Source organism: Homo sapiens, chromosome 13 (genome assembly GCF_000001405.40).
Source record: "Homo sapiens chromosome 13, GRCh38.p14 Primary Assembly".
Lineage (NCBI taxonomy): Eukaryota > Metazoa > Chordata > Mammalia > Primates > Hominidae > Homo > Homo sapiens.
Window position 1 is genome coordinate 112,084,691 of NC_000013.11, and position 14,127 is coordinate 112,098,817.

At 43.5% G+C, this 14,127-nt stretch overlaps 1 long non-coding RNA gene across 1 annotated transcript in view; it reads left to right on the forward strand.

Annotated features, from left to right (window-relative positions):
- SOX1-OT (SOX1 overlapping transcript) overlaps positions 1-14,127 on the forward strand; it is a 135,706-nt gene that overhangs the window by 112,381 nt on the left and 9,198 nt on the right. The window contains exons 2-3 of the long non-coding RNA NR_120392.1: positions 10,785-10,941; positions 13,626-13,784. This is a non-coding gene — a long non-coding RNA (SOX1 overlapping transcript). The remainder of the gene's footprint in view (positions 1-10,784; positions 10,942-13,625; positions 13,785-14,127) is intronic.

Consider the following 14,127-nt stretch of genomic DNA (forward strand, 5'->3'; position numbering starts at 1 on the left):
GTCGTCACAGGGGGCTACTGGCAATCATCTTGATCAGTACGACAAATAGTAGTGCCATCATTGCAAAATGTTCTAATGAGCAATATTCTAACATTCTATAGTTTTAGCTCTCACATTTAGGACTGTGATGCATTTTGAATTAATTTTTGTATGTGACATGAAGTAAGTGTTAGTATTTTTTTGCATATTGTTACTCATTGTTCCAGTATCATTTTTTGAAAAGATTATTCTTTACCCATTAAATTGCCATGGCACCTTTGTCAAAAATCAATTGACCATATATGTGTGGTTTTACTTCTGGACTCTTTATTATTTTACATTGATCTATTGATCTATGTTTATGTCAATACCACGCAATCTTAATTACTGTATAAGTCCTAAAAACAGGTAGTGTAAATACTCCAACTTTGTTAATGTTTTTTCAAAGTTGTTTTGGCTGTTTTATGTACTTTGCATTTCCATATAAAGTTTGGAATAAGCTTGTCAATGTCTACAAAAAAAAAAGCCTTCTGCAGTTTTAATTGAGGCCTTATGGAATCTATAGATGAATTTTGGGAGAACCGATATCTTAACAACATTGAGTCATCAATCCTTCAACATGTTATATAATCTCCACTTATTTAAATCTTCTTTAGTTTCCTTTAGTCATGTTTTTCAGTTTTGAGTGCAAAGATCTCATACATCTTTTGTCATATTTATCCCAAACTATTTTAGTTTTGGATTCTTGCCATGGACATCCCGTCATGTGCAAATAAAGGCATTTTTATTTCTTCCTTTCTAATCTGATGTCTTTTTTTTTTTTCTTATCTTATTGCACTGGCTAGAACAGCAGTCCCCAACCTTTTTGGCACCAGGGACCAGTTTCGTGGGAGACAAACTTTCCACAGATGGGGGGTTGTGGGGGGATGCTTTCAGGATGATTCAAGTGCATTACATTTATTGTGCATTTTATTTCTATTATTACTACATTGTAATATATAAATGAAATAATTATACAACTCACCAGAATGTAGAATCAGTGGGAGCCCTGAGCTCATTTTCCTGCAACTGGATGGTCCCATCTGGGGGTGATGGGAGACAGTGACAGATCATCAGGCATTAGATTCTCATAAGGAGCACACAACCAAGATCCCTCGCGTGTGCAGTTCACAACAGTGTTCACGCGCCTATGAGAATCTAATGCCATCACTGATCTGACAGGAGGCAGAGCTCAGGTGGTGATGTGGGCATTGGGGAGCAGCTGTAAATACAGATGAAGCTTCGCTGGCTGCCCACCTCCTGCTGGGTGGCCTTGTTCCTAACAGGCCATGGACAGGGACAGGTACCAGTCAATGGCTGGGCAGGGAGCTGCGATTCCTGGGCTAGAACCTCCAGTGCAGTGTTGGAGTGAAGTGGTGAGACCTGGCATTCTTGTCTTATTCTTTATCTTAGGGAAAGCTTTCAGTCTTTCATGTTAAGAATGGCATTAGCTGGCTCACACCTGTAATCCCAGCACTTTGGGAGGCTGAGGCGGGCGGATCACGAGGTCAGGAGATCGAGACCATCCCGGCTAAAACGGTGAAACCCCGTCTCTACTAAAAATACAAAAAATTAGCCGGGTGTAGTGGCGGGCGCCTGTAGTCCCAGCTACTTGGGAGGCTGAGGCAGGAGAATGGCGTGAACCCGGGAGGCGGAGCTTGCAGTGAGCCGAGATCCCGCCACTGCACTCCAGCCTGGGCGACAGAGCGAGACTCCGTCTCAAAAAAAAAAAAAAAAATCTGATCTATGGTTTTTCTATGCAAACTATTTTGTTGTCTGTTTTTATTTTCTCTTTTTATTACTGGTTTTTGAAGTTGCGTGATGATGTGTATTGATATCTTTTTTGATTTCCTGTGCTGGGAATCTGATGTACTTTTTCCATCTTGAAAGTCATATCCTTCAATTCTGAGAAATTCCATGAATTGTTTCTTTAAAATTTTCTCTATTTTTCTCTGGTCTTTCTTTCTGGAATTCCTATTAGAGATCACATCTTTTGCATCATCTTTTGATTTTTATATTGTTTCTCTCCTTTCTCTCTCTTGCTCTTTTGGCTCTGTTTTCTTGGATAGTTTCTCACATTTATCTTTCACTTATTTCATTGATTTGTTTTTGTTCAACAATCATATTTTTACATTCCAGGACATATTTTGTCCTCTGAGTTTTTCTTATATCTTTTTGGTTTAAATACTGTGCTGGTTTCATTTCATGAATTATAATATCCTCTTTATGAGTTTTTATGTAAATGCCTCTACTTGTCCCGAATGGCTTTGGCTGCTTCTGAATCCCTTTACCTGTTAATTTTGGACTCAGCCTTTCATGTAGGGGCTTTCCTCTAATGTATGTTTATTCTTTTTATCTGTTAATATTTTTAAATGAGGCACAAAAAAGCTGATTGGAAGCTTTGGGAGGGGCTGTATGATACCTGGTAGGTTTACTGCAGCCTGAAATTTGAATGTTTCATTGCAGGAATATCCAGATGTCAGTTATGTGTAGTTTTGGGGATCTCCCCTCTTCTTGAATCCTTTTGTTTCTCTAGAGAAAAATTTTGCCATCACCTACAGGCATTCTTGCAACTGCACAGAAGGGACGGAGGGACCCCCAGTCCAGGACATAAGCTCTCATGTAACAGGTCTGTTCTCAGGGCAGCCCTTCTCCCCTCCCATCTGCTACGCTTACTGTCTCCTCCTCTACTGCCTCTCTCATTCCATTTTCTGTAAATGAATCTGCTGCGTTGGAGGAGGGGTCGCTGCCGGTGTGCTGGGGAGGGGAGGGGACTTCCAAGTCTGGCCTCTCTCCTGTGGACTTCAGACTCCTTTTAGTTCTATCATTTCAGACACTGGAATTTCAGGTTCCGGGTCCTTTCTGGTTCTGTAGTAAGATTAGCATGGTTCTTATCATATCACTCACTTTAGGCATTGCGTTGGCTTTCTTAGGTCTGCTTTCTCTTTATTTCTGATCTCCAAAAAATTTACTGCTGTTCATAAGCCAGTAAAGCCTCCTCTCCTTTTTGATACTATTTAATTTTCATGTGAGTGGGGTTACAAGAAAGAAAAAAATCAATAAAACACGTGTTGAAATCGCCAGGTTTAACCAGGAGTCCCCTGCACTGCAGTCATCATCCTAAATGGCTTTCCTTGGCGATGCTGCCCCCTTACCAGAAACCTAGAGAAGGTCTCAGGAGGTCTCGCTTCTCTGGCTTGTAGTCCATCGTAAGGTTTTGCATTGCTAACTGGAATTTTCTCCTTTATCAGGTCTTGGACATTCACTGTTTTCTCTCACCAAATCCTCTCTTTTTTTCCTCTGTCTCCCTGTGTCCTTGACCCTTATGGAAAACCAGAGCCAGCTTCCGTTCCTCAGCCTTTCTTCTCTAAACACCAAGTTCCACCATTGACAGAACACTGAGTCCTGCACAGTCACATGGACACGAGTAAGGAGAGTTCAGAGGCTGCAGTGGAGTTCCACACGAAGCACAGGAGGTGAAACCCCTTTTTCCTGGCTCCTCAGGAGACATGTGAAGACAACGCGATTAGAGGTCCTTCAGGCACGGATAGGGTTTGTATCTGCTGAATCCCAATCCATCTCACATCTCCATCTCTAAATGCGCACTTTCGGATATCTGTGAATACCCCCTGTGAAGTTCCTGGTTGGCAGCGGGCGGGGTGTGCAGCTCTGTGTCCAAGTATGAAATGCCCCAATGCCAGTTGCAATTGTTTTGATTTTGGTGTTAGAGTCTAATGTTAGCTGTGACCCCTTCCTTTCCCTTTTCATCTTGAAGAGACTGTCTTCATTTGAAATAGGGAAAGGAAAGGAGTGTAACTCTCATAGGAGTGACGGGAGCCACCCCACACTGAAGCTGCGGTAGAACCTTGAGGTGGAACCATTTCTGCAAAGGGTGTTCTTAGAAATAGAAACCACAGTGCTAAACACCACCACCACCTACAGCCCCAGCAATGAGGCCGATCACCAGGCAGACTCCGGCAGATGGGGAGAACACAGCCACAGAGGGATGCCAGTCCCTACAGACAGCAATGAGGCCAATCACCAGGCAGACTCCAGCAGACGGGGAGAACACAGCCACAGAGGGATGCCAGTCCCTACAGACAGCAATGAGGCCAATCACCAGGCAGACTCCGGCAGACGGGGAGAACACAGCCACAGAGGGATGCCAGTCCCTACAGACAGCAATGAGGCCAATCACCAGGCAGACTCCGGCAGACGGGGAGAACACAGCCACAGAGTGATGCCAGTCCCTACAGAGGACGAGATGATCTCAGTGCTATTACATAAGCGCTAACAGGGTGATTATTCCACCTAGTCCACGAACATGGAATTTTATCTAGTGGCCAGAGATGTCCAAAGAATTGCCACAGAAAGCTTTTCACAGAATTATTAAGTGATTCATGGGCCCTATTCAGAAATGTCCAGAAATAGAAAATGCACGTGGTATTTATAAAGGGGTTAATTCATTAATCTCTTCTCTATCACAAAAAAGTAGGCTACTGCTGGAACCAAAGGTCCCCAAAATAAAGTCAATGAAACTATTGTGACCCAAAACTTAGAGACGTTCTTTGAGCATATAAGCGAATTGGACTCAGGGACCCAAAAATCAAACAAATACTGAAAAAAAAAAAAAAAAAGCATTTTATGGCAGGCCATTGTATAAGTGTCAGAATTTGGATAAAGAATAATAAGGAAAATTTTTTTTTCTTCTCAAAATACACATACATAGCTATACTTAAATATAACTGTGCCCTTCTTCTCACTGGTACATAACATATACAAAAAAGACAAAATGGAATTATGGCTGGTATTGGGACTATTTAGATGATTCCTATATAATCTGGAAAATGTGTATGATGTAGCATTTATAGGGCACAAATACACCATTGTGTGATGTGTCTTCCACTATTACACCAAAAGCACAAAACACTACAACACAAAACAATTTGGTTTGGCTTTTAAAATAAAATGAATTTAATTAAGCAAACAGACAAAAAAATCCTTTTAAATATAAGGTTGGAAAAATCTTTCTAAAATTATTTTTATAGACACAATATCCTGCAGGGTTTTTAGTTTGAAGTAGAAGAAACCCAGTGGTTCAATGAGAAATGGATGTGATGAAACATTGGCTCTGGCAGGCTTAAGAGGTAGCTTGCCAACTCAGTGTTGAAAAAGTTGATGACAAAAGGTTCCTGAAATCAAATTTTCCTCTTTGGACTCCTTCTAGAATGCCTCCAAGTCTGATTTTCATAAAATGAATTCAGGAAGCCAAATCTGTCTTTATCCTATGTTATTATGTGAGAGAATTTTCCATGACCTCGAAGGGAGAACACACGTTTTGGTGAGTTTGCGAGTGAAAATCTTATTATAATTTATTTCCAAGAGAAAAAGACGAATGATCCAGAATGTGCTCACACTCACACGTTTGCCTGTGAAATGTGTCCTGCCAACACAGAAGCAGGGCGCTCAGCTGGACCAGGGGTCTCAGGCCACACTCAGTTCACTCGTGTGTGGAGCAAGTGTGTTCAGAGACAGCATCCCTAAAACATCTCTCGCCTGGATTTGCTCACTCAACAAGTAAATAGGACCTCTGTATCCTAAGTTCTAGTACACAGAAACATGACATTTTGAATCATCTGAGAAATGCAGTTTGCTTTTAATAGAATAAGGAAAAAATAAAAAACTTTTTTTCTACATTTAAAAACAGCATAGGCCGGGCACGATGACTGAAGCCTGTAATGGTAGCACTTTGGGAGACTGAGGCAGGCAGATTGCCTGAGCTCAGGAGTTAGAGACCAGCCTGGGCAACATGGTGAAACCCAGTCTCTACTAAAATACAAAAATTAGCCGGGCATGGTGGCAGGCGCCTGTAATCCCAGCTACTCAGGATGCTGAGGCACGAGAATTGCTTGAACCCGGGAGGAGGAGGTTGCAGTGAGCCAAGATTGTGCTACTGCACTCCAGCCTGGGCGACTAAGCAAAACTCTGTCTCAAAATAAAAAAACAAGGAGGGAAGGAAGAAAAGAAGGAAGGAAGGAAGGAAGGAAGGAAGGAAGGAAGGAAGGAAGGAAGGAAAGAAGGCAGGCAGGCAGGCAGGCAGGCAGGCAGTTCAACACCAACAAAAGTTACAAAAAGAAAAATTAGATAATTGTCCACACCATGCATGTAAACTCACACTGATTGAAGTGGCAACATTTGGTTTGAATATTTGAATATTTTTTCAGCTTTTCTTAAGGCATACTCATGTATCAGAATTACCTAGGATGTTTCCAAAAAATGTGGATTTCTGAGTCCCACCCAGTAGTAGATAACCATATTAAATACCCCTTAATCTGGGGGTGGGTGTATCTTAGAAATCTTTATTATAACAAACCCTCCAACTAACTGCTTTGCCTATGAAACTTTAGAACCACTGAGTTCAGATAGGTCCTTCACTTCTTTCCTAACATATTAACTAATGAAATGAAAAAAAAAATTCACACCTGAATTTCCCTAGTGTATAAATTTCTTCTTATGCAGTCATTGAGTCATTCCAAACTCTGGAAGTTGAGTTAATTATTTCAACATACCAAAAAAAAAAAAAAAAACTGGGCCAGGCATGGTGGCTCCCATCTGTAATCCCAGCACTTTGGGAGGCCAAGGTGGACAGATCACCTGAGGCCAGGAGTTTGAGATCAGCCTGGCCAACATGGCAAAAACCCAGCTGTACTAAAAAAAAAAAAAAAAAAATTAGCCAGGTGTGGCAGCAGGCACCTGTAATCCCAGCTACTCGGGAGGCTGAGACAGGAGAATCGCTTGAACCCAAGAGGTAGAGGTTGCAGTGAGCTGAAATTGCACCACTGCACTCCAGCCTGGGCAACAGAGTGAGAATCCATCTCAAAAAAAAAAAAAAAAAAAAAAAAAGATTTTTACAAAATTGACTTTAAGACCTCAGAGCTGTGTTATGACCACTTGAAATTTGGCTACTGCTATTGAGGAACTGAGTTTTTAATTAAAGTAAATGTAAATAACCACATGGGGCTAGTGGCAGGCGTATGAGGTAGTGCAGACATTGATCATTTCCATCATCACAGAAAGTCCCATCAACAGCCTTGTCTTAGACAATAAACTGCAGTGCCCAGTGCTGCCCAGCTGATTTTGAGAGTGCCTGGATATGTGTGTGAAGTCCCTCAGCTTCTTTGCAGGAAACATGCTTGAGTCAAACGAGGGATTACTCACTTACATTGTATTTTATTTACACGAGACAAGCTATTTTGTATACTGCATTGTGTTTACGGATGAGACAGGCATTGTAATCAGAAGGTTTATAGATAAAACGGAAATGTTCATATTCAATTGCATTTTTCAGTTCTAGAGTTCTCGTGTGTTTTCTTTCCAATTGTTTTTGCTTCTCTATTGATATTTCCTATTGATCCCACAATATTTTTACATTTTCACTTAAATCTTTCAACCTATTTATAATGGTCGTGTTAAAGTCCATCGTCTTTGTCATTTCCAGTCAGTTTCTTTTGACTGATTTTTCTCCTCACATTTTTCTCACATTTCCTTGCTTCTTTATATATCTGGCAAGTTTTTATTGCATGCTGGACATAGTGGATGCCAGCTTTTTGAATGTCTGGGTTTCGTTGTCCTCATTTGAAGAATATTGAAGTTAATGGTGGTAGGCAGTTAATTTACGTGCAGCTCAACTTGATCCTCTTAAGGCTTGATTTTAAGCTCAGTTAGTGAATGCCTGCAGTAGTCTTGACTCTAGGGCTAGAGTAACCTTATTCCTAAATCACGTCTGCTCCAGGATATTAACTGGAGTGCTTGGTGTGTTCAACGAGGTCTCTCCATACTGGTTTGTTGGTCCTCATTGTCTTCCAGCCCCATGCCAGTTCTGGAATTTCTACTCAGCTCCTCTCCCTGGTAGTTGGTCTTTGTCTGCTGTTTTGGAGTCTTGCCTTAGCAGGTAGAGCTGAGTATTCAAAGATGCCAGCAGGCCTCCCTGTGGATTTCTGAAACTTCTCCTCTGAGCCTTCAGCCTGTGCTCCCCTCCAGCTCCACTGCATCTCCTACACTTCTCGACCTAGCAGGATGGCCTTGTCCTGCCCGGGCTCCTCTGGGACCTGCTTTGGGAAGGCTCATGGCAGGACACTGGGCAATCCTGGGGCTCACCTCTGTTATGGCCCTTCTTTCAGGGAGCACAGGCCTGCACTCTTATTGTCAAGCATCTGAAAACACTCGTTTCACACATTTTGTCCAACTTTATAGATTTTTAACAGCAGAAGTTCTAGTTTGATACCAGTTTCATCATGACCAGAAGTAGAAATGCACATGGAAATTAACTGTCACAGCTAAAAGAACAGTGAGAATTTTCAAACAGTTTAAACAGTAGATCTCCCACTAAAAGAAATTTGCCTAAGAGGACACAGTCCAGATAAGTCAAATATACTTAAGTAGAGACGGTTTTCAGAATTTAACAGACCAGTAACTTGTTACATAATTTCATCAAGTTCTGGACACATGTCCACTGTCCATTTATAAATGAAATCAGAAGAAGGACCTCGTCCTTGCATGAATATGGTTCACGGGACTAGAAAGCAAGAACCATTGGTTCTTCTGGATCCAGGGCACCTGCTTGTATAACTTAGGCGACACTTTGCTCCCTGTGTGCCAAGGTACCCTGGGACCTCACAGCAAGCTCACAGGGGTGCCAACAACATTGATATTTTCAATGTTCAAGGGAAACACAGTGATAACTGTTGTCTGTGGACACCGCACAAACTAGTAGCCCGATATGGTTCATGGTTCCATATGAGACAGGGCTACAACCCTCATGGCAGCAGCCTTGTCTCTGTGAATCTGGGTTTTGACATTTGCTGCAGTATAAAAGCAAGTACCCCACAAAAATCAAAGCAGAAAATGAAACGAAGGTGGCAGCTGCAAAATCTCCTTCCAATGGCAGGCACACACATGCCATTAGTAAGAAATTATGATTATTAAAGAATTTAATTACAATCTCACTCTTCTGTCTCTCTTTTTGGAATTCTTTGGAAAAAAAAAAAAAGAGGGTTATTTACCATGCAGAGTTTCCCACGGTCTGGGTTGCCAATTGCATCCGTGGTATCCTTTATCATTGCCTCTTCCGTGACTTTTCTGGGAACTGACAGTTGGCCTCAGAGTCCTGATACTGTTCAGGTTTGATTCAAGGGCAAAAGGGAAGCAGCGTGACTTCCGGGAGTTGGTGCCATTGAGGGTTAATGCGTGAATCCATTCGTTAATTAGGAGATGCGAAATGCTTTTTCAAATTCTATCATTACTGTAATGTATTAGCTATAATACTTCTACAAAGGAAAAAATATGTCTTCTTGACTATTAGGTTACCCAGTGGTAGAGTTAGTACAGAAACCAGAATGCACATGCTACAATCTTTCCCTTTACTTACCAGTTTTCAAAATAACGAATCAGTTCCTTATATGCACTGTATTTTGTGCATTTAGAAACATTATCCTGAGAAGGGGTTCAGAGGCTTCACCACAGTGTCAAAGGGGCTGATAGTGTCCATGGAACTCCCATTTTAGACTATTCCAGGAGTCACAGAGGTCAATTTGACATCTTGGGCTTACAACAAAGATGTTCATTTTAAGCCATGACCTGATTTAAGTAAATCAAATTTGCCCTTGGGTTTTTGCCAATGTCAACCCTCCCAGAGTCCACTGCTGTTCAACCTCTTCTCTTCTAAGTCCCAGTGGATCTACAGAGTGATTCCAACTGATCGCTTCCTTTGTCTCCACAGCACTCAATCTTTGCATCTTGGTGGTTGGTGAAATTCCACCTTAGTTGTACTGTGATCTACACCGTATGTAGACCCTACAGTGGTAGCTGTGGTATAGGGATACTGATTTGAAGTCAGATGATCTAATTCAAACGTTGACTATGCTACTTACTAGCTTTGTAAACATGAAGCAAATTGCTTCACGTCTTTGAGCTGGTTTCTTCAAATGGAAAATGGCAAAAATGATATATAACTTGAAGGACTGTGAGAACTAAAGAAGGAAATATTCTTGAAAGATTGAGCCATTAGAGGTTCTCAGCAAATATTTGTTAAATCTGATTCTCAGTTCCCAAATGCAGGGGATTTGTTCATTAGATCTTTGGTACTGGCCATCGTAGTAAAAGAAAAAAAATTATTGCACTGTGAGATAGTTCCGATTTAGGGCTGTAAGCGATAACACATTCCCATCCATTTCAGCAAACTCTCTCTCTCCCTTCCTCTCTCTCCTTCCTTCTCCTTCCCTTCCCTTCTCTTGTTCTTCTTCTTCTCTCTCTCTGACTCTTCCTCTGTGTCTCTGTCTCTCTGTCTACCTCCGCCCCATATGTGTCTCTCTCCTAGAGGCGCAGGGCTGAGCTCTGACAGTCAGAGCTGTGTGATTCCGAAATGCTCCTGAGAGCAAGTTACACTCCACTCACGGCACAGCTGATCTTCCCTGGGCTCAACAAGGCTGCCCCAGTGAAGACATTCAATGCAGTTGGCTTCTCACCACCCTGGCTTGAAATGGCCACATCGGGCTCTAACCTCGAATCCAGTAGCTTCTGTACTGTGTCTCAGCCATCCCTACACCATCACGGTCCATCCCATTTGGTTAGTCTGAAAAACCAGTGATGTCCTCAGCACTCCCCAGGATTCTTTTTTGTGCCCCTCCCTGGTCAGAAAGCACGTCCATTTCTGAGAACTGCAACCTCCTCCAGCCATTCACCCACCAGGCCCTTCTCTTCTCTTCCAGATGGCTTGGCATCTTCTTCCGAGCAAGCGCAGCTCTCAGGCCGGGCCTGAGCCTGCAGCCTGTGTGCCCTCCATCATCAGGGCCCCCTCTCAGGACAGGCTACACCGAGGGTGGGACGGCGGACTTCCAGGGACACTTCCAAGTCGTGCCCATGCAGGTTTGGATATTACTGTTCCTACCGATTCCCTGTGTCTCCCTGAACCTGTTTCCTTATTTGTCACAAGGGCATGAGAAACACTCACCTCAGCCTTGTTAATAAGGATAAATAACAGATTTTTTCTTTTTTTTTTTTTTTATTTGAGTTGGAATCTCACCCTGTTGCCCAGGCTGGAGTACAACAGCGTGATCTCAGCTCACTGCAACCTCTGCTTCCTGGGTTCAAGCTATTCTCCTGCCTCAGCCTCCTGAGTAGCTGGGTTTACAGGCATGCGCCACCACACCCAGCTAATTTTTTGTATCTTTAGTAGAAATGGGGTTTCACCATGTTGGCCAGGCTGGTCTCAAACTCCTGACCTCGTGATCCACCTGCCTTGGCCTCCCAATTTGCTGGGATTACAGGTGTGAGCCACCGCGCCCAGCCAATAACAGATTTAAAGTGTCTCATGCCTGGTATGTGTCAGCAACCGTCAGAAACTTAACAGGCAGCAGCCCCCTTCCTCCTCCCTCCCCTTCCTCTGTCCAGGGAAAGGTTCTCCCTCGAGTTTGGTCTGAAGGCACTCCTCCTGGTCCCACGTTACCCTCAATAGTGCCCCACAGCTCCATGGTGAAAGCCCAGCTGTGGAGTCACACTCCTTGGGTCAAACCCAAGGCTGACACTTACTATGTGATTTACAATTAGGAAAAGGAGACAGGGCTCCTATGAAGATTAGATGAGGTTGTGAAGGTGCAGACAGCTGGGCTCCTGGTGCACACTGTGTTCTTATTAAACACTGTGGTCACAGTTGTCCATTCTCTGGGATCCTCAGTGCCTCCTGCCATTGGCCTCCTCTCTGCACTGCTGCAGCCCCCACAGCACTGTAGCTGCCCTCACTCCCCACTCTGAGCTGAGCTCCTTGCAGAGCTGTGTTCTCTGAGCCCCTCCTCCTTTCCGGTCCTGCCCCTCCACTCCCCCCGGAGTCATCCTGTGAGGGCTCACAAAGGCCTTTTACTTCTCCCCACACAATGAACATGCTGGGAACTTCCACCAACTGGACTTCCTATGGCCTTTGAGATAAGTGATAGTTCTTCCTCCTTGAAGTCTCTCCTCCCTTGGTATGTAACTCCAAGCAAGCTATACTCAATGTACACAAAACCATTTAGCATCTGTCATGGTTTCTCACTGTCTGTAGGATGACGTCTAAACTCTTTAGCATGGCATTCACATGGCTTACGATATGATTCCTGGAAAATAAGGTTCTGGTCTTATTTTCTCTGTTCCTTCATAGGCACCCTACTCCCCAGCAATATCAAAAAATCTTGCAATTTCCCAACCCCAACATCTTCTCCTACAACTCCATGCATTTTTGCTCATAGTACATTCCCTGCCTTCTCTGCCCTCAAGCAGAAAATTCCTACTCATCCTTTAAGACTCAATCCACTGCCAACCTTCTCAGAGAAGCAAGGCCTCCTGGAGCCATGCAGCAAGGGACTGGCAGAACAGGGTTCTACTAGGTTCTCCGAGCCGCACCTGACCTGCGTGGAGCCACCTCTGCCCACGGCCCTGGAGTGTGTCAGTGTGCACGGGTCCCACAAATCCTGGCACACATAACGGTAAAGACAATAGCAAGCGTGGGTGCCGTGCTCACTCTCAGACTGAGGCCAGGATGTTTCCGGATCATTCTCTGTCTTTGAGAGCATTTCCCTGACCCTATTCTAGTCCCCACACAGACAGTTCCAAGGCCTGAGAAATAAGCTGAGTTCTGAGCTCAGCCGCGATCCCGTTCATGGTAAGTGAAAGTGAAATGTGATCATTCCACAGAATTAGAGACTGGAAAGAGCTTCTGATTTTGGAAGAACAATTTTGTAAAATGGATTTGTATGCATAACATCCATTGCAGTTGGTGACGGTGGAGTCAGTGACTAATAAAAATGTCATTTCCTGTGATTTTTATAAATTACAGTAAATATGCCAGTAATCACCCACATTAGCTGCTAAAATGCAGGCAGCCAGCTGGAATAGAGGCCAGGGGACCCCACTGAGGCCTCAAGAGGGAGACCCCACAGGTACAAATTGACACCTAGGCAAACAGTAGTTAATACATGCTAGAATTTGGAGAAGGGTAAAGTGTTAAAATAAATGTATGTCAAGCAGACGAATTTGGACTTCTCCATGAGGATCTGTCACGTCAAACAGGAAATCGCTATAAATTACTTGTAATAGTAAAAATCTTGTCATTTATAACCTTTAAGGCGACGGGCTCATTTAACACATCAACTCACAGATCATAATCTAGGCGAGTCGGCCTGGGTATTTATTTCACTTTTAATGTGTAGAAGCTGGGGCAAGCCATGCATGAGCTGCGAAAGCCCTCACAGTGCCCTGTCGGCTCCTCAAGCCGTGGGACAGGCCAGAGAGATAACTGCCTGAGGCTTGGGGGATGAACACATCAAGATAGGAAAGCCCTTCCTGCTCCTGTAAAAATTAAGACATGCCTGAAAATGTCATGCCTTGGTTAGTCTCGTAATGAATAAATCCAAATAAATCCCACCATTATTCTGTTTATTTGTTTTACTTATAAGCTATTTGAAGTCATTGGAGCTGAAAGTGTGTTTCAACACGCCGAGCACATTTAGAGTATCTTGTAATCATCTTGCTAACCAGTGCACAGGCGAATGATGAGTGGAATTTTGTGTTTATTTCAGATACCTCAGTATACACTGCCCACAGTTAAGAAACCACGACCTGAGACATTGTTTTGAAGAGGTGAAAATGCCTCCACTCAAGTGGCCCAGGAGCGTGATCCAGGAAGACGAACACACAGAACCATCTTCTGCATGGTTTGAAAATTCAGTGGAAACTAGGTATTTATGAACGAGATGCTTACTGCAGTTTGCATGCACTGAGTAGACATTTGTGGATTAATTCATCTAGGGTTGGGGGAGAGGTTCCAAGAGGAGGGTAAGAACAAAGAACAGACACAGGCCCAGCTGACCATTCCCTTCAGTGAGAAAAAGACCCGCAGGCAGAGTTGAGCACGCGGCTCACATTCGCACATGCTTGGCATCATGAACCGTAAGGAAGAGCAAAGCTGGTTTCCAGAAAGACGTTAACTCACAGTCGTACTTCTCTCCACTTCCCTTGCTCCTCTCCCTGGCCTCTCTACATCTCCCTGCTCTCTCCTGCACCAGGGCTTGGTCAGTGCTT